At 45.4% G+C, this 21,473-nt stretch overlaps 2 annotated features.

Moving 5' to 3' along the window:
* Positions 202-251: an enhancer, noted in NCBI's record as "active region_7797". NCBI's record gives its function as "activates an Ori minimal core promoter by ATAC-STARR-seq in GM12878 lymphoblastoid cells {active_cell/tissue: GM12878}" and the evidence as "EXISTENCE:reporter gene assay evidence [ECO:0000049][PMID:35858748]".
* Positions 4,533-5,033: an enhancer, noted in NCBI's record as "H3K4me1 hESC enhancer chr13:53499618-53500118 (GRCh37/hg19 assembly coordinates)". NCBI's record gives its function as "activates a minimal SCP1, AML or CMV promoter by ChIP-STARR-seq in primed H9 embryonic stem cells {active_cell/tissue: H9 hESC(primed)}" and the evidence as "EXISTENCE:reporter gene assay evidence [ECO:0000049][PMID:30033119]".

Genomic DNA, 21,473 nt, shown 5'->3' on the forward strand with positions numbered 1-21,473 from the left:
TTGGCCAGGATGGTCTTGATCTCTCGACCTCGTGATTCGCCCACCTGGGCCTCCCAAAGGGCTGGGATTACAGATGTGAGCCACCGTGCCCGGCCCACACTACTGTTTTGATGGAGTGGAAGCAAGTCCAAAGTTGTGAGGAGTAAATAAATGATGGATTGAGAAATTCTCTGTGAACCCTCAATGGAGTTATTGTGCAGAGCTTCTATAGAAGGGGACCTGTCTCTTTGTGCTACGTGTTTATCTGCTTGTCTAGGGGAAGCCAAAGCAGATTCTTGTCACCTTCATTCTCAGTGTTGGGGAAGTATGCTGCTGGAGCGTGGCCTTCACCTTTTCTATGGCCCCTCTCAGCATCCGAAGCACAGCAAGGTATCACATGATGTGACTGTCACTAGTAAGCTCATGTGACATGACACAGGGAGGACTTATCCAAAACAATAAAGGGAACTGAAAGTCAGAAAGCAGAAGTGGCCACATATTAGATTTTGTATGCATTCATGGGTAAGCTGAGATTAAACCACTCAGCATTTGTTCCTAAGTGCGAAGCCAGAGAGGGCTCTGAGGCAGAAATGCTCAGTGTTCACCCACAACTAGAGTGACCCTGCTGTGATTTCTGCCTTCACAACCATGTGGATTTAGTGCCTTCCCCAAAACTTGTTTCTCGTTGAAAGAAGGAGGGTCCAAATGCCCACAGTCACAGGATGATAGATTCAGTACAAAGTTATGGAGACAGTATGGGCAGGCATGGCCATGGTCAACCATTGGCCAAAATTCAAGGCTGTGGAACACATAGAGCCTCTATTGAGGAGGGAGCTTGTTCAGACTTTGCTATTAGGAGACTCTTTTTACTCAGAAGACAAAGCAACATATTCTTTGTGCTCCTTTCTGCATTTCTTCTCCAGCTAAGTGCTGGTGGCTCTTACTGTGAGCTTCGTGGGTTTCACTAGAGCACTGTGGGCAACTCAGACTGCTGGTCTCTCACAGGACTCCTCTGAGTGATAATTAGATGGTATACTTTATGAGCTCATGGTAGACAGTCTAAATGTAATTGTAATAAAGTTTTCTTCATGGCAGCTTAACATACTAAGGATAGGAACATCACTTCTCAGCTAAGGAGCTAAGTGCAGAGAAGGCCAGTGACTAAAATGAGTTCAACCAGTCAGTGGCTTGGACTGGCTCTGAAGTTGCAGTTGTTGTCTAATGACAATGGTATTTGAGTGTTTACTATAAGTGAGGTGCTTTGCGTGGTTTATTTTGTTATTGTTTTTTATAGAGATAGAGTCTCATTCTGTCACCCAGACTGGAGTACAGTGGCATGATCATAGCTCACTGTAACCTTGAACTTCTGGACTCAAGTAATCCTCCCACCTCAGCCTTTCGAGTAGCTGGGACTATAGGCCTGTGCCATCGTGCCTGGCTAATTAAAAAAAATTTTTTTTTGGTAGAGATAGAGTCTCACTATGTTGCCCTGGCTGGTCTCAAATTCCTGGCTTCAAGTGATCCTTCCACCTCGGCCTCCCAAATGCTGGGATTATAGGTGTGAGCCACCACACTCAGCCAGCATGGTTTATTTTTACTGTTTCTTACGACTGTCCTATCATCATCATCACCATCATCATAATCAACTCTGCATATTATGGGACAAGAAACTGAAAAAAATTTAAATTAATTTTCTCGGAGTTGGATAACTGGCAGATGGTGGGATTTAAACTCAAACCATCTGGCTCCAGAATGGGCGTGCTGAACTCTTGCCTTGTGCTGCTCTGCTCTGTCCTGTCTGCTTGTACAAATTCACTGCCAATCCGTAGCAATTCCCCTCTGCTAGGTGCTGTGTTGGGATGAGAGTTATGAGCATCTGCAAGGTACCAGAGAAAGTGATAGAAATTGATGGGCACAAATATGGGAATAATGCCAGATTGCTGCAGAGTAGCCATACCCTGTAACTGCATGTGAGCATCTTTTATGTGAATGTCAAGGTTGTGTTGTGGGGTGTTCTGACATGGCTACCCTGCTGGGGCCTGTGAGATTAAGATAGACCCCTCTGGGTAGGCTTGGTCCTGTCTGTAGGGAGAGATTATTCCTGGCGTCTATCATTTTGGAAAGAGACAGATTCTTAGGAACCAAACCATGGGGATGGAGAGAACTCCACCCTGTCTTTTTGCTAGTACTCTGCAGACTCTGAGGAATGACAGTGTCTGGGATTACACCCTGCATGGGGGATGTTGAGGGTGGTGGCTTTCATGCTGAGGTGAGGGAGAGAAGGGAGGAGGAGGTGAGTGCTATGGTGCTTGCCAACTGAAGAGAAATAAGCAATATTTTACTAGAGGGATGAGCTAGATTTTATATATGCTTTGTGCTTTTCCATTTTGTTACCCCCAGCCATTAGTAAAGACTTTTTGATTATTTCATCTCAGAGCTAGCTGTGCTACCATGTATATGGGGAAGAGGTAGCTTGTGAACACTTGGGTTTGACATAAAGAGGGAACTGCAGTGCCCCCTTGAAACAAACATGGGACTTGTTTGGAAAGCCCAGGAGGAAGGTGCAGTTCCCTACATAGAGTCCCAATGTCCTAATAAGTGCTCCCTCCAGAAGAGGCACCTCAAGGGTTACATCTGGAGGTTTGGAATTTTGTCTGAGGGTGGTGGCATTTCCTTCTTCCTCCAGGCTAACCCCTGCCCCTTTTGCAGCCTGACAGCTCTTTTGGAGGAGTGAGCTGCCCTGGAGCTATGAGGGCAGAATTCTTTCATGATCCACAAAATCCCATAGATGCCCACCAAACACACAGCTCTCCATCACTGTTGCCATCAGCGAGAGTTATTGCAGAGAGAGATTTAAAAAATGTAATTACTTTCCTATACAACTTCATAACAACATGAAAAGATTGAAGTTGAAAAAAATTCACCCACAATCCTGCCACCCTCAACAAATCAAATTGTTTTAATTTTTTTGTTTTTATGTTATTATACTCATAGAGAAGGTATAGGTTAGGGTTTTCGTGTGTGTGTGTGTGTGTGTGTGTGTGTGGTGTTTTTGTTTTTTTCTCTACTATGACTTTTTTCCCCTGTATTTATTTTCTGTACTAGAAAACATCTCTATTTTTTATTTGATTTTTTTCCCAATATGTTCCAGATTTTCTGGAACAATCCACCCTCATTTATTTCTGATCTTCAAATCATTAAATGTATAACAAAATGTGAGTTAGTTTTATACACCTCTGTAAGGTGATAGAAATAAATTCATTCATTAGGAAGAAATTTTTTGTCACACTTTTAATTTTTTATTATTGATTTTTTCCATATTTCTGCAAAGTGTTTGTAATTATAGTGCACAGATTCTTAACTGGAGGGTGATTTTGCCCTGCGGGGGACATCTGGCCATGTCTAGAGACATTTTTGGTTGTTACCACTAGGGCATGAAACCCCTACCACCTAGCAGGTAGAGTCCAGGAATGCTGCTAAACAATCCGCAATGCACAACACAGGGCTCACCATGAAGAAAGATCTGGCTGTAAATGTCACTGGTGGTGAGGCGGAGAACTCCTGTTGCAATGTGAAACGGTGACTTCATAGTCCTAAGAGCAGATGCCTGCTTTACTTCAGCCTCCCCTTCTCTCCTTGCTGGACATTAGTTTTCAGTCCCTGTTTTTCAGTGTTGTAATGAGCATATTCATATGTCGAGGTCCGTCTTGCTTTGAGATTGCAGTGGATTATTGCAAAGGGGATTGCCAGCCACCACCTGGCTCCTCTGAGGGTGGAACTCAGACCGGGTGCTCTGGCTTTCCTACAAACAGCTCAGGCTGATTGTAATTCCAGTTACTGAAATCTAGAGGAGCAAATTCCCAGGCAGCAGGAATACAGTGGTGCAGGCATGAAACTGGGAGGAGAGGCAAAAGCTGGAAGGCAAACCTTTGGGAGCAGTGGGATTCAGAGATTAGGAAAGTGAAATGGATTCACACTGATTCTAAAAGCATTTGCTTAGGGAAGTCAGTGTGGGCCTACCAGTGCCTGGCCGCACCCAGCTAACATTGCAGCCCTCTCCACATTTCCTCTCCATCTTCTCTGCTTTATCTTTCTCTTCAGCAGTCATTACTATCCTGCATGCTATCCATTTCGCTTATTTATCTTAGTTATCTTATGCCTGCTTTGTGTACTGCAGTTTCCCAGCACCCAAGCAGCTCCTGGCTCGTCAGAGGAACTCAGTGCCTATTGAGTGAATGAATGAATGGATAATTCACAGACACATGGGAAAGTTTTGCTTTTAGAAGAGCCTCACCACACTCATCACTCCCGGACCTGGTTTCTCTCTTCACTCTCAGAGGAAGAAGGATCCAGAGAGAGAGAGGAGCAGAGAGCCCAGGTGAAAGCACTTCACCCTCTGTGGGGAGCAAGGAAAGTGAGGCCATCAGAGGGAGGTACGGATGGGAACAGCTGCAGCCTGGCAGCTGTGTTTCCTCATTCCTGAGGCCTTCATTCCTCTATCCTGGGAGCTGTGCCCAGCGTCACAGGGGCTGCCCTGCAGCTTCCTTTTCAAGTCCTCCTGGATGCCATGAGGCTTTCTTTGTAGCCCTGTCCAAAGATGGCAGCCCCATTAGCCAGTTGTCTTGTGCCAGCCTTGGGGATCCTCCCTTGAACTCATTATGGGCCAGATTCCAGTGATCCTCAAACCAGACATCTTTGGCCTCTGTGTGAGACAGGCTCCTCTTAAATGTTCACAATCACGCTTGATCTGATGTTTCTGGAATTGTACACGTTCTTGTCTCATTAAGAAAAAAAAAGACCTCCAACCACCTCTGAGCACATACAGCCACATCTTTATTAAAACATCACCACCACCAGGTCAACAGGGGTGGTAGGAGTGGGATGGGGAGAGGCCATATGGAACCAGTCAGGTAAGTGGTGACAACCCTGCCTCGGGCCTCTGCAGCCTTGCAGCTGGCAGCTTTGGAGACCGGCATTATGTTTCACGTCACTCAAGGCAGGTGAGCCGAAGCCACGTCTCGCTGGCTGCCTCTGCAGCTGCTTCTCCAATCAGGTGGTCCTGCCCGCCTCGGCTTGGCGGCTCAGGGTCTTGAAAAGCGGGTGACAGGGGCAATAATCTGCACTTGGCAAAGCAAACCCGAACACATTCTGAAAGGCACAGCTGGACCAGGCTCAGCAGCTTGATTCATTAGGCAGTAATCTCAAGGCTGTCAGCCTAGGCCACAAGGGCATGTCCAGGCAGGGGAGCTGTGTTTTCAACAATTCAATCCATTTCCACAAATATTATTGAGCCAATGTTACGCAAGAGGCCTGGCGAGTGGCAGCAGAGGAAACAAAGATGAGAAAGGGACAGTTTCTGCTTCAAGGACCTTAAATTCTAGCTTCTCTGAGAACCACAGGAGAGAGAAGACCAAGGGTGGCTAGGGTTCAGAGTTGGACGAGAGAACAGACAGTTGAAAACTCAGGACAAATGTCACAGAGGAGGAGTCCTGCATAGAATTTCTTCTTCCCTCGTTTCCTCCATCCTTCCCTGTGGTAGACGGAATAATGCACCCCCATGCCCCGCCTTGCCAAGATGTTCACGTCATAATCCCCAGAAGTTAAATATATTACCCTATATGGCAAAGAATCTTTGCAGATGTTATTAAGTGAAGGATCCTGAAATGGACAGAATTATGCTGAATTACCCAGGTGGGCCCTAAATGTAATCACAAGTGTCCTTGTCAGAGGGAAGTTGGGTGCGGTGGCTCACACTTGTAATCCCAGCACTTTGGGAGGCCAAGGTGGGTGGATCACTTGAGGCCAGAAGTTTGAGACCACCCTGGGCAACATGGCAAAACTCTGTCTCTACCAAATATACAAAAATTATCCGGGCCTCTAGTCCCAGCTACTTAGGGACTGAGGCAGGAGAATCGCTTGAGCCGGGGAGGTAAAGGCTACAGTGAGCCATGATCATGCCACTGCACTTCAGTCTGGGCAACAGAACAAGACCCTGTGTCAAAAATAAATAAATAAATAACTAAAAGAGAGAAGCTGGAGAGGTCAGAGTTAGAGAGAGGTTTGGGGGTTTGAAGGTGCTGCACTGCTGGCTTTGAAGATGGAGGATGGGGCCGTGAGCCAGGGATTAGAAGCAGATTTTAGAAGCTGGAAAAGGTAAGAAAATGGATTATTCCCTTGGAGCCTCCAGAAAGAACTGGAGGAATTCCCCTCCTGCTGACTCATTTCAGACCTGTGATTTCTAGAACTATAAGGTGATACATTTATATCTCTAAGCTGCCAAGTTTGTGGTAATTTGCTATAGCAGCAATGGGAAACAAATGTACTTACTTCCCGCTTTCTGTCCTTTTTCCCTCCTTCCATTCATGTCCCCTTTCCTTCCTTCCTCCTTTTCTTCCTCCTTCCCTCTCCTTTTATCCTCTCTTCCCTCCCTTCTTTTCCTCTCCTCTCCTGTCCTCTTCTTTGAATCTATGTATGCAAACAATATAGGTGGGCTTGTTTTTACTAAAACAATATAATATTACACATATTATTCTGCAGTGTGGACAGGATTATTTTAGGTAGGGCAATGGGTGGAGAAGATCATTCCAGGTGCACAGGTGCCTGAGCAGAGACACACAGATGCGAGAATGTTCAGAAGAGAGTAAATAGAGCAGTTTGATGAGAGGGAGAGGGAGAAGAAGGAGAAGGAGGGGAAAAAGAAAGAGGAGCTCCTTAGGCTACTGAGGACAGAGGAGAGTCAGGATGCCGTGGAGTGAAAGATAGGCAAGAACACAGTGGCAGCTTGTGCTGAGAGGATGGCAGGGAAAGGATGGCTTTGCAGACAAACATGAGGGTGTCATTTCTTTTTTCTTGTTTTTTGAGATGGAGTTTCACTCTTTTTGCCCAGGCTGGCATGCAATGGTGTGATCTTGGCTCACTGCAACCTCTGCCTCCCAGGTTTAAGTGATTCTCCTGCCTCAGCCTCCCAAGTATCTGGGATTACAGGCAGGCACCACTATGCCAGTCTAATTTTGTATTTTTAGTAAAGAAGGGGTTTCGCCATGTTGGTCAGGCTGGTCTCAAACTCCTGACCTCAGGTGATCTGTGAGACTGTCATTTCTTGAACTATAGATTGGGAGGGGTGGGGTGAAGAGGAAGTCAGCATGGCTTTGAGATTTTGAGCACTGGGTACCTGGGATTGGTGGAGCTAGACTCTTGGGTATCATGCCTGACTTCTGTTTGTCACTGCCAACGAACAATCAATCAACAGGATACTGTCAATAAATTCTGCCTAATTATGCTCTCAGAGTTCCTCCTAATCATCTCTTCATACTTATTCTTTAGAACTTGATTCAGGCATCCTATCTTCTGAGAAAACTTCCAGATTCCCTCCTCCTCAGTCTGGGTGAGGTTTCTCACTTAAGTGCCTCTCTTCAATGCACTCATAATATCTTGTGTCTCTCCGCATTTTCACATTTTCTTAGAATTGCCTGATTATAAGTCTGTCTCCTCCACTAGATTATGAAGGCCTTGAGGGCAAGGATTGGATCTTATTAATCTTTGTATTTTCAGTGCTTTGCCCACTGCCTGGCATCTGTTTCGCACAAATCTCTGCTGAAGGGAAGCCTGGATGTTGAACATGCTGTTGAACATGTTTTGAACGTGTTTGACTAGAACATCTTGATGGGAATGTCCACGAGTCAGCTAGAAATGTAGGTCTGGGGCTCTGGGAAGATGTCAGAGATGCAGAGGCAGACTGTGAGTCGTCTGCAAAGAGGTGAAGCAATGAACCTGGCTAGAGAAGAAGACTGAGGGTAGGACCTTGGGGAGTCCTCAGATTTAGAGAGTGAGAAAGAGACACTGGTGAAAGCAACCAAGAAGGAGCATTCAGAAACGTGGGGAACACCCAGGCTGCTAAAATGGCAGACAAACCAAGAACGTTTGAAGAAGACAGGATGGTCAGCAGGGTCAAAGGCTGCCTGGAAGTCAGAGGGATGAGTGAGGAAAGGTCTTTCCTATGGCATTTGGGAGATGGTTCCTGAGCCGTGTGAGATGAGGCAGGTGGACAGGCAATAAGGGATAAAAGGAGATTGAGTGGGGAGGCGGTGGAAGCACCAGTACCTCTTTCGACGTATGTGGAAGGGAAGGAAAGGAGGGATATGAAAACAGGACCTGAGCAAGTAGCAGAGCGACATAAATCTGATTGAAAGGATGTGAGGGGGCTTAATGTGGAAATGACTGAGCATGGACTACAGGCTGGGCTGGAGTCAGGATGAGAATGAGAGATGAAAAAAGCAGAGAGGGCTGGCACCTGGAGTTCATGAGAGGTCACAGCAGGTCTCCGTGGCATGGGACATATCTCCCTTAGTGCACTCCTCCCCAGCCTTACAGAGCAGCATCCATCTACACCAATGCAACCTCATTCCTTCTGATGGGTTTGGAAGGAAAAAGAATGCTTGCTAGAAAATGTCTGTGGGCCCTTTGTTTCCAAAAGAGCCTCATAACCCCTGTTCCCTGATGGACTTCAGGTCTTAGGGACCTGAAGATCTCTAAGAGCAAATTCTAGCCTGTCTACATCTGCGTGCCCTCACCCATGTTTGAGTCTGGAGGATTCTGAGTACTGTCACTTGTCTGTATCTGTGGGTTCATCTATGGATTCAACCAAATGCAGATCAAAAATATTCAGAAAAAAATTCCACAAAGTTCTAAGAAGCAAAACTTGAATTTGCCTAGTGCTGAGCATTATGTTGAATCCACGCAAATGAAGTGATGTGTAGGCATTGTATTCAGTATTATAAGTAATGTAGAGATGATTCAAAGTATTTGGGAGGATGTGCGTAGGTTATATGCAAATGTTATGCCATTTTATATAAGGGACTTGAGCATGCATGGATTTTGGTACCCACAGGGGATCCTGGAACCAATCCCTCATAGATACAGAGGGATGACTGTACTTGGATTTCTCTCTGTGGCTTATGCCTCAGTGTCCACAGTTTCTTTCTCCTCCTTCTCTTTTCATTACCATTTGCCAACAAAACGACTCTAAGGGTGGTACAGGAACTCACAGAACAGCTTCACACATCTGGGACTGTCAGTCTGGAAGGCATGCATGGCGCAACACCATAGTCTGAGCAGCTGAACAAAGATGGCCTTTGTCCATTGGTAACAGCTGTTAGGGAAGCTATTTCCTTTTTGGGGATTTGGTAGTGGGGCATTTGGAGGTCTTTGAGGAGCCTACAAATGTCTGCTTCCAAGGTGCAGGTCTAGTTGGCTGATTAACCAGCATGGGTCAGCAAAACATACAAATGTGCATTTTCCCCATGGAGGAAGCCAGGTCATTGACTTCAGTCCATGAATGTTGTCCATGGTTATATCCTCTGGAGTTACACATGCCCACGAGTTGCCAAGAGGCAGTCAGGTGGAAGCTCCATGACATTCTCACCATCCCACTGCTCTTCGGGCCTGTAGCTCCTTCTCACTCTGATTTTTATTTTTATATTTTTTTCCTCTCATGCTTTTAAATTCTTTCTGGACAATGGCTAAGCCATAAGCATTAAAGCTAGGATCAAAAGCCAGCTTTTGCTTAGGAAGTCCCTTCTGGGGTGGAGGTGGAGGGGGAGGGTTGGCTCCGTGGGCTCAGGACCCTGCTCTATATGAGGCCCTCCTCTTCTCTTTCCATAGTCTGGCCCTGTCCCAAGCCTGCCGTCCACTTGACCAATTCCTCACCTGAGGTGCAGACGCTTGTGGGATTGGAAACACAGCTCCGGTTTTAAAATATGCTTCCTTCTCAGAGTACAGATGATTCATATAAAGCTTCTACCTTTAATTTTTCCTATTCTTTGCTTTTCTATTGATTCCTTGGATTTCACAGAGAGGGCTTATTTGATTTGGGGATGGATTATGCAATTACTTTACATTTTATCTGAGCAACACAATACAGGCAGAGTGGATTTTATTTAAAAAGTCTGAATTGTCAGGATGATGCCACCCACAGAGACCTAACTTTGGAGAAGACAGGGCCCTGGGGGGCATGCAACAAGAACCCCAGTTCTCTGTGTACCGGGGACCCTGTCCTGGCAGGAGCTTGGAGAGCAGACCTTGTATTGCAGAACAAGGGGTTATCTTTCCTTCAGCTTCAGCCTGATCCATTTGTCACTTTGGATTATTTCTCTTATACCTGCGCAGAGTGGCAACGTCGTGAATTTTGAAGATTCCTAGTGTGCTTTGTTGTGTCACGAAACACAAATACCATCTCCTTTCAGCTCTGGCTTTCACAGGGTCTGCCCGAATACATTTGTGTTGTCTCCAAACCTGGCACTTTAAAACAAATGAAAAGGCCCCTGAATGACAAACATGGCACACATAGTGGGAGGGCCATTTGCAGGGAAATTGTTGCAAGGAGAATCGGTACTTTATGAATATTCACTGAAGTGTAAACCTGCACATTGCTCATACGCTTTTCTGCATTCTAATTTGCCCATGAATGCAAATGAGTCCTGTGTAAAATAGAGAGGGGGAAGCAGTCTCCTCACAGAACACCTAATTGAAAGATGTTTGTACATCATGTTTGATATTTAGTAAACAGAGAGACAAATCCAATCGTTTTCCAAATGAGACCTCAGAAACAATAAAAAATAATGATCACAAAAACCTGGAGAGTAGAAATGTGCAGAACTAACTGCTTTCCTAAAAAGGGGGAATAATTACTCTGTCTCAGAGTGCAATTAGTGTCCTAATTACACAAAGGTGTATTTTGCTTATCTCTTCAGTAAACCCTTTGTCAAGATTTAGCTGTTTCCAGGAGCCATACAACAGAGGGGCTGGGTTCTGCACTTGGGGTAGGCAATAGATGTCCTGTGGGAGAGGGGCCCGGTTAGATGGGACTTTGGGAAGTAACTTCGTCTTTCTTTTAGACTGACAGATGGTTTCAGTCCGGGTTGGACTGCCTGCTGCTGCTTTCAATGCAAGAGTGCTACCTTTTTGGATTCATGAAAGCTACTCAATCAAAGATAAAAAGGCAGGCCAGTGTGGGGAATCAATAAAATCTCTACTTTCAGCTGGAGTGTCTAATAGTAATTCTTCTCGTGTCACTGCCTGGTTAAACAGTCATACTCCTGCTAAAAGCCCTATAAGACATAATAGATTCATGTGGCTTTGCTCTATTGTGTTGCATTTGGCCTGGAAAAGGGGAAAGGGGCTCCTGTTTTTCTAAAACAAACCAGACACTGAAGCATTGTGTATCAAAATGTATTCACCCATTGCAAATTGTCTCATTAGAGCAGAGGGGATTTCCTTGCATACCTCTTGTGGAGCTATTTCCAGACATCAGATATATTCATTGCAAACCCTCCCTTGGAGATGTTTTAGTACCAGTTCTGAGTCATTCTGCTTACATTTAAATGCATTTTTTTTTTTGGTAGTGGTGGTGGTTGTTGTTTTGGAAAAATCATAAAAATAAGTACTTTTGATTTCAAACAGATCCAGTTGTGCATATTGAGATCTGTCCCTGAGAAATGGACAGCAAATGCTACCCATCTCAGAGCTGGACTGGACAGCACCCATGGCTGTCATGGCAGATAGTCTCAGGCAGGGCATCTTTGGTGATGGCTTCTCAAGAAACAAGTTTACCTTGGGCTGGGAGGCAGGGTTTTCCTTAGTCTGTGAGTGGCAGCATGGTCAAGATCTGTGTGTAATTCCCTCACTCTACCCCAGCACACTCATGGGCCCTTGAATGGTCCTGAACCCATGGCCAATATGGCAGTGAATCATGGAGATGTCGAGTGTTTTTCCTTCCAATCTTTCCTCCTTCAGGGTTACAGAGAAAAAATGAAGTATTTGTGCCTGAGTTGAGAAGCATTAAATGGAATTGGCTGGGTTACCACCCACACATTGGCATCAGGGATTTTGAGTGAATGAGAATCACAGAGCATGTTATTCGCCATCTGGGGTGAGAAAGACGTGATGGGACTAGCGGCACTCTGTTGGCCATTCCAAGCAGGCCCTTTGATCAGGAGTGTCCTTTGTGAAGCCTTCTCCTGAACCCTCCTCTCCCACGTTCCTCCAAACCCAGGCCCCTCCCCACCCTCTGCTGCTACCCTCTGGAGGTTTGTTGCCAGCCGTTGGGTCACACCTGAGCCCTTTCTGGAGTATCATGTGAACCTGCGGAAGTGAGGAAAATATCGAGCGTCTTTCCCTTGGCTGCCCCTTCGAGCCCTTCCCCAGGAAAACTTCAGCAGATGTAGACAAGATTTTAATAGCTACATAAAAAGAAATGCATGACAATCTCATTAGGGGAGCCATAATGGCCTGTTGGAGGATCTCAGAGCGGACAATAGATCAACGTCCAGCTTGTTGCAGCATCCCTAACGATGGCAGTTTGCCCCTCCTCATAATGGCCCATTCATCACCCATTTGACCTCGTTCCCAATAATACTTTGCCCTCACTTGCATCAGTCTCCCTTTGAGGCCCTCCACAATTGCTGCCACCACTCTTTAAGTGGGGTTAAATCAGAGCCAGTAAGTGACAATCATAAAAAAGCAGTTAGTGGGCCACCCCACGGCTTGCCCGATATGGCACATTAGGGCTCTTTCTTTTCTTTTCCCAGCAGTCTTCGGCCGCACTTCATCCTGAGCCTAGCATCTGCAGGAGGCCAAGGCTGGTGGACCGGGGGTCCGGGATTTCCAACCACCTGCCAAGGAAAAAGGAAGTCAGTGCTGGAGGAGGGAGGAGGAGGAATCTACATATTCTGCAGACCTTCTTGTTTATCATGAGCGAGGGCAGGAGAATCGTTATTAATGGTATCAGGCCATTGTCTTTCTTATGTGCCTCCGAGGGCAGCGGACATAATTAAAGTCCAAGCTGAGTTCATTTTTCCCCCTGGTGGCTTAAATGGCCTGGAGTCATTTCCCATTTCTCCCTTCCCACTAGCGCCAGTCCTCCCTCGCTGCTGAAAAATTCAACATTCCTATAAACTACAGTACTTCGTAAAGGTCACGCGCCAGTTAATCTGAACCTGGGGTCTGGCGCCAGCCCCGCTCACGGTGGCTGCGAGGATGGCCATGCAGCCCGGTCACGTGGGGCCCGCCTGTGGAGAACGGAGAGGGGCACGAGGCAGGCACGCAGAGCTCTTTAAATATTGCTGAGCATTTCCTGGATCAGCATGATATTTAAAGATTTTTGTTCCACCTGCCTGCGAAATATAGAGTCCAGCCGAGAGGCAAGAAAATGAATATGGATTTCTTGCCCTTTCAGTGTATTCACTCCAGAAAATAGCCATTTCTTTTTTTCGTTTTGCTGAGCCGAGGACTGCAGGCTTCAGGCTGCCACGATTACAATCATGCATCATGAATGAAATGTGCCATTTGGAGAAAATCAGCCACTCATTCCATTTCAAAACTCTACACAAATCAATAGTGCTAGCAGAGTTTTCAGGCTGAGCTGGACGTTGTGCTTGAACTAAAGCACTTTCTCAACATATTTCTGATACTCAGAGCAGCAGCCTGGGGCAGGCTCCGAGCCTGGGCCTCCACTGAGTGGAATATCAGCCTCCAAAAGCTGGTTGGGCACGTGATGAGTCAGGGAGACTTAGTGCTGATGGATGGAACTCTGGCAGGGTCAGAGAACATGCTTTCTAGCTTGAGTTCCGCCTGAACTAGCTTCCTATTCACGCTGTATTCAAAAAACATGTACTGTGGCCAGGCACAGTGGCTCACACCTGTAATCCCAGCACTTCGGGAGGCTGAGGCGGGTGGATCACTTGAGGCCAGGAGTTTGAGACCACCCTGGCCAACATGGTGAAACCCGTCTCTACTAAAAATACAAAAATTAGCCAGGCATAGTGGCACATGTCTGTAATCCCAGCTACTGGAAGGCTGAGGCACGAGAATCGCTTGAACAGGAAGGCAGAAGTTGCAGCGAGCCAAGATTGCACCCTTGTACTCCAGCCTGGGCAATAGGGACTCCGTCTCAAAAACAAAATGAAACAAAACAAAACATGTATTGTGCACTTCCTGTGTGCCAGGCCCTGTACTAAGCCCTTGGGATACAAGAGCACACAAGATAGACACAGACTTTACCTTCATATGGCTTCTAGAGGTTAATGAGGGAGATGGAAAAATTACTGGGCAGTTATGATGCAGTGTGATAATCTTAGGACATTGGGAAAATTTTCATCTCTCTCTGGTTCCTCATTTTCTTATAGGTGAACTGAGGAGATTTAAATAGATAAAACCTCAAGGCATTCTCCCATTCCAGGATTCTAACCAATCAGTAGGGCAATTAGACAATTGGGCATTCTGATCTCACCTCCACTCCCAGTGCTGGACAAGGCTCTTGATCCCCTCGTTCTCAAGGTCACCACAACCTAGTTGCAGACATGAGACTCATGCAAATGAAATGTAAATTCACAGTTGAGGTGTCAGATAAATGTTAGGGACTTTGAGAAGTTTTCGCCATCCAGAGAGTTTCCTGGGAGTTCAGAGAAGAGAGAGAGGGTTAAGCACCTTATCAATGTCAGACACGCTTTTCTCTGCACCTTCTTAACCACTCCCTTGGCTCCCATGACTTAAGTTACTTATATATGGACAAGAATCCTAAATCCTAAATGTACGTCTCCAGCCTAGACATTTCCCATAATGTTTTCCCTTGACTATCTCCTCCTTATTTTCCATTTCCCATTTAAGTACTGTTTGCTCCACAAGGCTTCATTTCCTTGGACCAAGTTAGGTCTCCTATCACATGTTCCTGTGGTACCCTGGTTTTTATCAGAGTAGTTACCACACATTTTTGTAATGTTTTAATGAACTCTCTCTTCCACAAGCCTGCAAGATCCTCAAGGGTAGGACCATGTATATCTACCCAACTCACTGTTTTTTCCCTAGGCTTGGCATTTTATCAGTGTTTGGTGAGGACTTTGTTATACAAATGAATGATGATCTAATTCTTCTAGAGAGTACATTTACCTTTCTTTAACGCATGCATCCAGGCCATTTCAGCCTGTTTGGGTCATTCATCCCAGAGTAAAATGAAACAAAAGTGGCACTGTACCAATATATTTCCAACAGAGTGTGGTGTCTTAGGCAGAGTTTCCTAAGAATCAGAGATTGAAACAAGGCTTGGGCTGAGCACGGTGGCTTACACCTATAACCCCAGCACGTTGGGATGCCTAGGTGGGCAGATTGCTAGAGCCCAGCAGTTCAAGACCAGCTTGGGCAACATAGGAAGACCTTGTCTCTACAAAAACCACAAAAAACGAGCCAGGCATTGTGGTATGTACCTGTAGTCCCAGCTACTCAGGAGGCTGAGGTGGAATGATAGATTGAGCCTGAGAGTTCAAGGCTGCAGTAAGCCATGATTATGCCACTGCATTCCAGCCTGGGCAACAGAACAGGTCTCTGTCTCAAGAAAAAAAAAAAAGAAAAAAGAAAAGAAGAAAAAAGAAACAAGGCTTAAGTGCTAATGTGTTATTTGGGAGGTACAATCCCAGGGCAATGGAAATGAAGGAAAAGAGAAATGAAGCAGGCAAGGACAGGCAGCAAATACAAGGTGTTGAGCTGCTGTGTTGGCCACTGCTTCATGGTGTGTATGTGGGCACATACACAATGACAACAACAACAACAACAACAACAACAACAACAACAAAATGACAAAAAACCCACAGCTAGTTGCTCAGCAGGTACACCTGCTTAGCCATGCAGAATGTTTCTAGACAGACCAGACGGTAAAAACGTGCCTCAAAACAGTCCTTGGGAGGAGGAAGGGAAGGAGATTTTCCTCCCATTGCTACCTTTATCAGTCAAAGTTAAGCCCCATGGGGAGAGAACTTCCCTGTATTTATGGTCTGCTTTATCTGACACTGTTGAAAGCCACTCAAGAATTCTAAGCCCATGTGCTATGACGTGACATTTCATCCAATTCACATGTATGCAGAAAAGAGTAAATATAGCAGGCCAGAGACTGTAACCCTTAAAAAGGCCTGCTTGCAATGTTGACTGTTGGTGGCTTCTGGGAACTTAGATTTCAGGGGGATTCCTACTATTCCTTGCTAAGAATGGCTCACCATGCCTAAAAGTTTGGGGGCATGCCATGTAGTTTATGCTGAACATCTGCTTTCCTTCTGGGAGTCTGGAATTTTGGTATGTGCTGGCAGAGGGTACTTATGTGACCAGCTCCCAATAAAAGCCCCCAGGCACTGAGTCTCCAATGCACTTCCGTGGTAGACATCTTTCACGTGTCTTGTCACAACCTACTGCTAGAGGAATGAAGTGAGTCCTGTGGGACTCTATTGGGGGAGCACTCTTGGAAGCTTGTGCCTGCTCTTCCCTGGACTTCACCCCATGTGCCTCTTTCCTTTGTTGATTGTGCTTTGTATCCTTTTGCCACAGTAAATCCTAGCCATGACTACTATATATGCTGAGTGCTATGAGTCCTCTTAGTGAATCATCAAACCTGGAGGTGGTCTTGGGGACCTTTGACACCACTTAGGTGGCTGGTTGACCTCAGGTGGAAGAGCCAAGCAGGCCTTGGGGAATTGGTTTGCCAAGGCTGTGACTGAGATGAAGCAGGAGGTTGAGGGTCAGGGAGACAGCTGAAGCTGAGGAGGCGCAAGGTATGTCTGATGCAGGTATCAAAAAGAGCCCAGATGGACCTTGGCTGCTACCAAATGTGCAAACTGCTGAGTGAGTTGGTGTTACTTTGATAAAATGGTAACAATTCTATCTGTCTTGCAGGGTTGTAAGGACTGGTATAACGTATGACTTTCTTCAGCCTGTTGACTTTCAGGAAAAAGCATCTTGATCCCTTACCTTTAGGCTATAGTGTTTGGATGGACAACATAGAGTTGGGGGAGGAGGATGGAGAGAGTGAAGATGCAGCAGTGAGTGAAGATTGCCGCTGTGTATGGAAACTTCACTGGTGTTGGAATGGAATGTTCTGGCAAGATGGTGCCTGCTTCTAGGAGATGTACTATTAGGTTTTTCTGGATATAGAAGTGTTCCCAAGACAGTTCTCTTGGAGTAAGTCCAGCAGATTATTATATTGCCCAGTTGCCACTTCCAGATATTGGCCATTTTGGACTTGACCAGCCCCAAACCGTACAGGACATTCTTAACAGGCCATATTTCATTTATCACTGAGTATTAGAATTATTTGGCTGCAAGCAACAGACTTCAACTAATTTAAGCAAGAATCCATTATTGGACGGCTTCAGAGTGGCTTGCAAAGAATAGTAACTGAACAACTAGGCTTCAGGCAGGGCAGAAACCAGGGCAGGTCTTGGTCCCTCAGCAGGTGGATGAATCCCCTAGAGAATAATCCTTGGATGACAGCTATAATTGCTTGGCTCCCCTGCTCGTCAAACTCAAGGTTCAGATTCCCAGGAGAGGGCTGTGATTGGCAGCTCAATAGAAATATACCACAGGAGAGAGATTTCTCTAAAGGAAGGAGGATGCCATTAGCAGGAGCAGGTAAGATGTTGACTCACACCTGCTTTTCTGACAGGGATTCTGCCCTATGTCCAAGCCACCAGGTCACTCTGCTTCTGTGACGTCTGAAGCCTGGTGCTATCAGGTTGCCTTGGGACTTTGTCAGATTTGGTCTTTTTCTTTTCTTTTCTCTTTCTTGACAGGGTCTCACTCGTTGCTCAGGCTGGGGTTCTGTGGCACAATTATCACTCATTGCAGCTGCAACTCCTGGGCTCAAGTGAGCCTCCTGCCTCAGTCTCCTGAGTAGCTGAGACTACAGGGGTGTGCCACTACACCCAGCTAATTTTTTAAAAAAATACTTTTTGTAGAGATGGTATCTTGCTATGTTGCCCAGGCTGGTCTCAAACTCCTGGCCTCAAATGATCCTCCCACCTCAGCCTCCCAAAATATTGGGATTATAGGCATGAGTCACTGTACCTGGCAGACTCAGGCACTCCTGAGTGTTTGCCTTGTCTCCTTGGTTCCCCCATGCTTGCCAAATCTATGCAAAACACATTTTGGGGAAACCCCCTAGGGATGGTACTGCTCTCTTGTCAACTAAGGGTATACCTTTGTAGAGCCTCAATGGCATTGTCAACCTTAGTGCTTATATTTTTCATGCCTTTCTAAGCCTTTGAAGATACTCTGCCCTCTGCTTGAGGTGCTTTTTACTGTGCTACAAATGCCTACTCACCTTCAAGCTCAAATGTCACCTCTTCTGTGAATACCACCCTGCCTGAAGTCTGTAGTTTAATGGCAGAGGCTCATGTAGAATCCAGATCCCCTGGTTTCCAGTTAGAGTCATTACAATACAGGGACTAGTAATTAGAGCTTTGGAGTCAAATAACTGTGGGTTTGAGTCCCAGTTCTGCATTTATGCTTTATGTAACCTTGAAAATGTTCCTTACCGTCTTGGAGACTTGAGTTTCTTTTCTTTAAAGGGGATATTAACAGTACCAACTTCATATGTTCAAGGGAAAATTAAACAAGGTAATGTATGTAAAGTGGTTTGCACAATGCGTGGCATGCAGTAAGTGCTCAATAAATGTTAGCTATTATTCTTGTATTGTGTTTTGGTCCTAGGAGGATTATCTAAATGAATTTAAGTGTAGAAAGCTTTAAAATCCTTAGGGACAAGTAGAGTAACCATAACATGCAAAGACTCAAGAAGCCCCAGGGAAGAGTCAGCATTGGAAGTCTGTTACTGCAAAAGTTGTTAACAAATCTTAAAATACTAATTAGGCAAGTGCATAACTCACTATCCTAAATAATGAAATATGTGTGGCTGTTGTTCATGGTTCAAAATAATAAATTCTAAATTAGTCACTCAGAGCATTATTAATAACTAAACACAGTCTGCAAAGAAGTTAATGTATTTTTTTAATGCTCATGAATTTTATAATAAGAGAAAATACCAAAAACAGACCCTTTTGAGATTAGTACGGATCTCTAAGTCTGGTTTTGTTGGAAGATTATTGGAGTTAGAATTGGAACACCTGTTTGAGTCCTGGCTCTGCTGGTCATTAGCTGTGCGATTTTGGGGAAGACAGTCTTTCTGTGTATTTCCTCACATAGGTAATCTACATGAAAGGACCTTAAACATTGCAAAATGCTTTTTAGACTATAAACTGTAGTTTGATTCAAAAGTATCCTTATGAAAATAAAGCATTCATTCATTCGTTTCTTCCTTTGTTCTTTCGTTCATTGATGAACACCTATCATAAGCTTAGCGTGGTAGAAGTTGCAATCTGGGATCAAAGGCAGAAGAAAAATGTTATGTCCATTCTTAAGAAACCAGTATCCTAGTTAAAAAGACAATACACATACAGCATGTCTAAGTAAATGCATCCTTCTAAGCTTTTCCTGCATTTAAATCCAGGGAAACACAAAGTGAGTAAGAGAAAGATTAGGACTTACTCAAGGAAAGCCATTTTGAAGGAGGTCTTAGATTGTGTCCTGTAGTACAAGGAAGGGAAGGGGGTGGGAGTGGAGAGGGAGAAACAATTTACATGGCTGGATGACCATGACTAAGACAGATGAGGAAACAGTGAAGACATATTTGGTAATGGTCAGTCAATAATCAATCAGAGGACACATTTGCATTGGGTACGGTATGAGTCTAGCACTGGTCCTAGGTGCTGTGGGGGATGTGGGAGAAGGAAGAGGCTCAGTCTCCATCCACTGATAATTTTAGTGGGAGGGGAGGTGAGATGAATACTGGCAAAGCCCCTGAAGAGATAGGGCATGAGTTTGGTGCTACAAGTTGTGAAACTGAACCGCGGGGCTGAGCCATCTGGTAATGTCTGGCTGATGCAGAGGAAGACTATACCTTTAAATCCACAGCTCAAGAAAACATGTCAGTTTGCCAAGTTTCTGCTAAGCCATCCTGAAAAAAATATTCAACAGCTTTCACCAGCTAGAGGCCCCAATATCCAATCTTCTGTCTCAAATGATAAATGGCATTTGTCAGTTGACAAAGCAAATGGCCTCGACCATTTGAGGACATGGTCCTGCTGTGCATAGCACTCCTGTTGAACCAGCCAAGAGACCTTGAGGTGAGAAAAAGTCTTTTTGTGCATGAACCCTTCAGAGATGGTCTGGAAACAAGCAGCCATTGTCACTCTGGGGTCAGTTCCTCATTAGGAGCTGGTAGGAAACAGCTATCTCGGCAGAAGAGGATTTCTCAGGTCCCGTGGCTGGATTAGCCAGGGGATGGCCTGGAACCTTGCCGATGGGCATGCACTTTGGCTAAATTTCTGCTGGGGTCTTTGCCCTTTTTTTGTAGTATCCCAGATCCTATTGCTTTAGAGCTAAGTTAATATTGTTAGTGTGTGAAAGCATCAAGGGGTACAGCTCACATCGACACTAACAGCACAGTTGATGGTGTTGTGCATGGGGGTGGTGCAGGGGTAAGGTAAGTAATTTTCGCATGGTGGACTGTGGTGCTCTCAGTTTCCAGGTGTTTAGCCTCCCTGGCTCCCACCCACTGAATGGTAATGTCATCCCCAGTTATGTGATTGTTAAAACTGTCTGCACATTTCCAACCTCCACTGCCAGGGTTTATGCAGAACCCAAAAGCACTTGGGGTGATGGGTGCTTGTAGGGAACCTGTCTTCCACCTGGTCCCAGCCTGCTCTGCTGTTCTCTAGGAACCTGGGGCAGGGTTGAGTCTTTGCCTTTCTCAAAACTGATCCCTGGGGGTTGGGGTGTTGAGGGTGGTGGACTGCGAGTTAGATTTGGTGTGTTCCTCACTCTGCTTTTTGAGCTAGGTGTTTACTCCATGCTGAGCCCTCTGGAAGAATCCCTCAGCTTTCCAGAAGGAGGTGAGGGCATGACATCGGGCTCGAAGGAGCTGGGAGAAGCAGATGAAGGAGGCCAATTGGGTAGATATGGGGACATTACTGAGGTCTCACTGCAAACAGTTCCTAGCAAGAAGGGCTTTCCAGTTGATCCAGTCCAAGCTGAGGGCCAGGCATGGAGAGAACGCCAAGGTCAAGTGGTCTAACCACCTGTTCCAGTGTTTTCTAACGTGTGGTCCATTGATGATTCACATTAGATTGACCTGGGGTGCTTGTCAAAAATGCAGATTTGTGGCCTCTACAAACTTCTATGTCAGGTTTTCTGGATTTGGGGTTGAGAATCTGAATTTTCAAAAGCACCCCAGGTGATTCTTCTTCAAGCTGAATGTTGAGAGAACTAAGGATCTAGCCAATGCTTGAGATCCTTCTTTAAGAACTCTGATTAGTAACAGTCCACCTTTGGTCATCTTTAGTGGAGGAGGTCTCATTTTCTTTGGAGACAGCCCATTGCCTCTCTGGATAGCTCTGGTCAGCAAAATTTCCCAACAGGAAAGGTATGGTCTCGTTGATGGGGAACCACAAGCCCAAACTGTGTGTGTGAATACATGCATTTCCAATAGACTTGAAAGTATACACACTTTTTAACTAAGTGTGGCTCCTCATGGGAGGGAGAGTGAAATGTGGATAAGTGGGGAAGTTAATTGGGGAACTGTGACTTTTTATTTTGTGTATGTATGTATTGTTCAAATTTTTCTT

Source organism: Homo sapiens, chromosome 13 (assembly GCF_000001405.40).
Source record: "Homo sapiens chromosome 13, GRCh38.p14 Primary Assembly".
NCBI classification, from domain to species: Eukaryota; Metazoa; Chordata; class Mammalia; order Primates; family Hominidae; genus Homo; species Homo sapiens.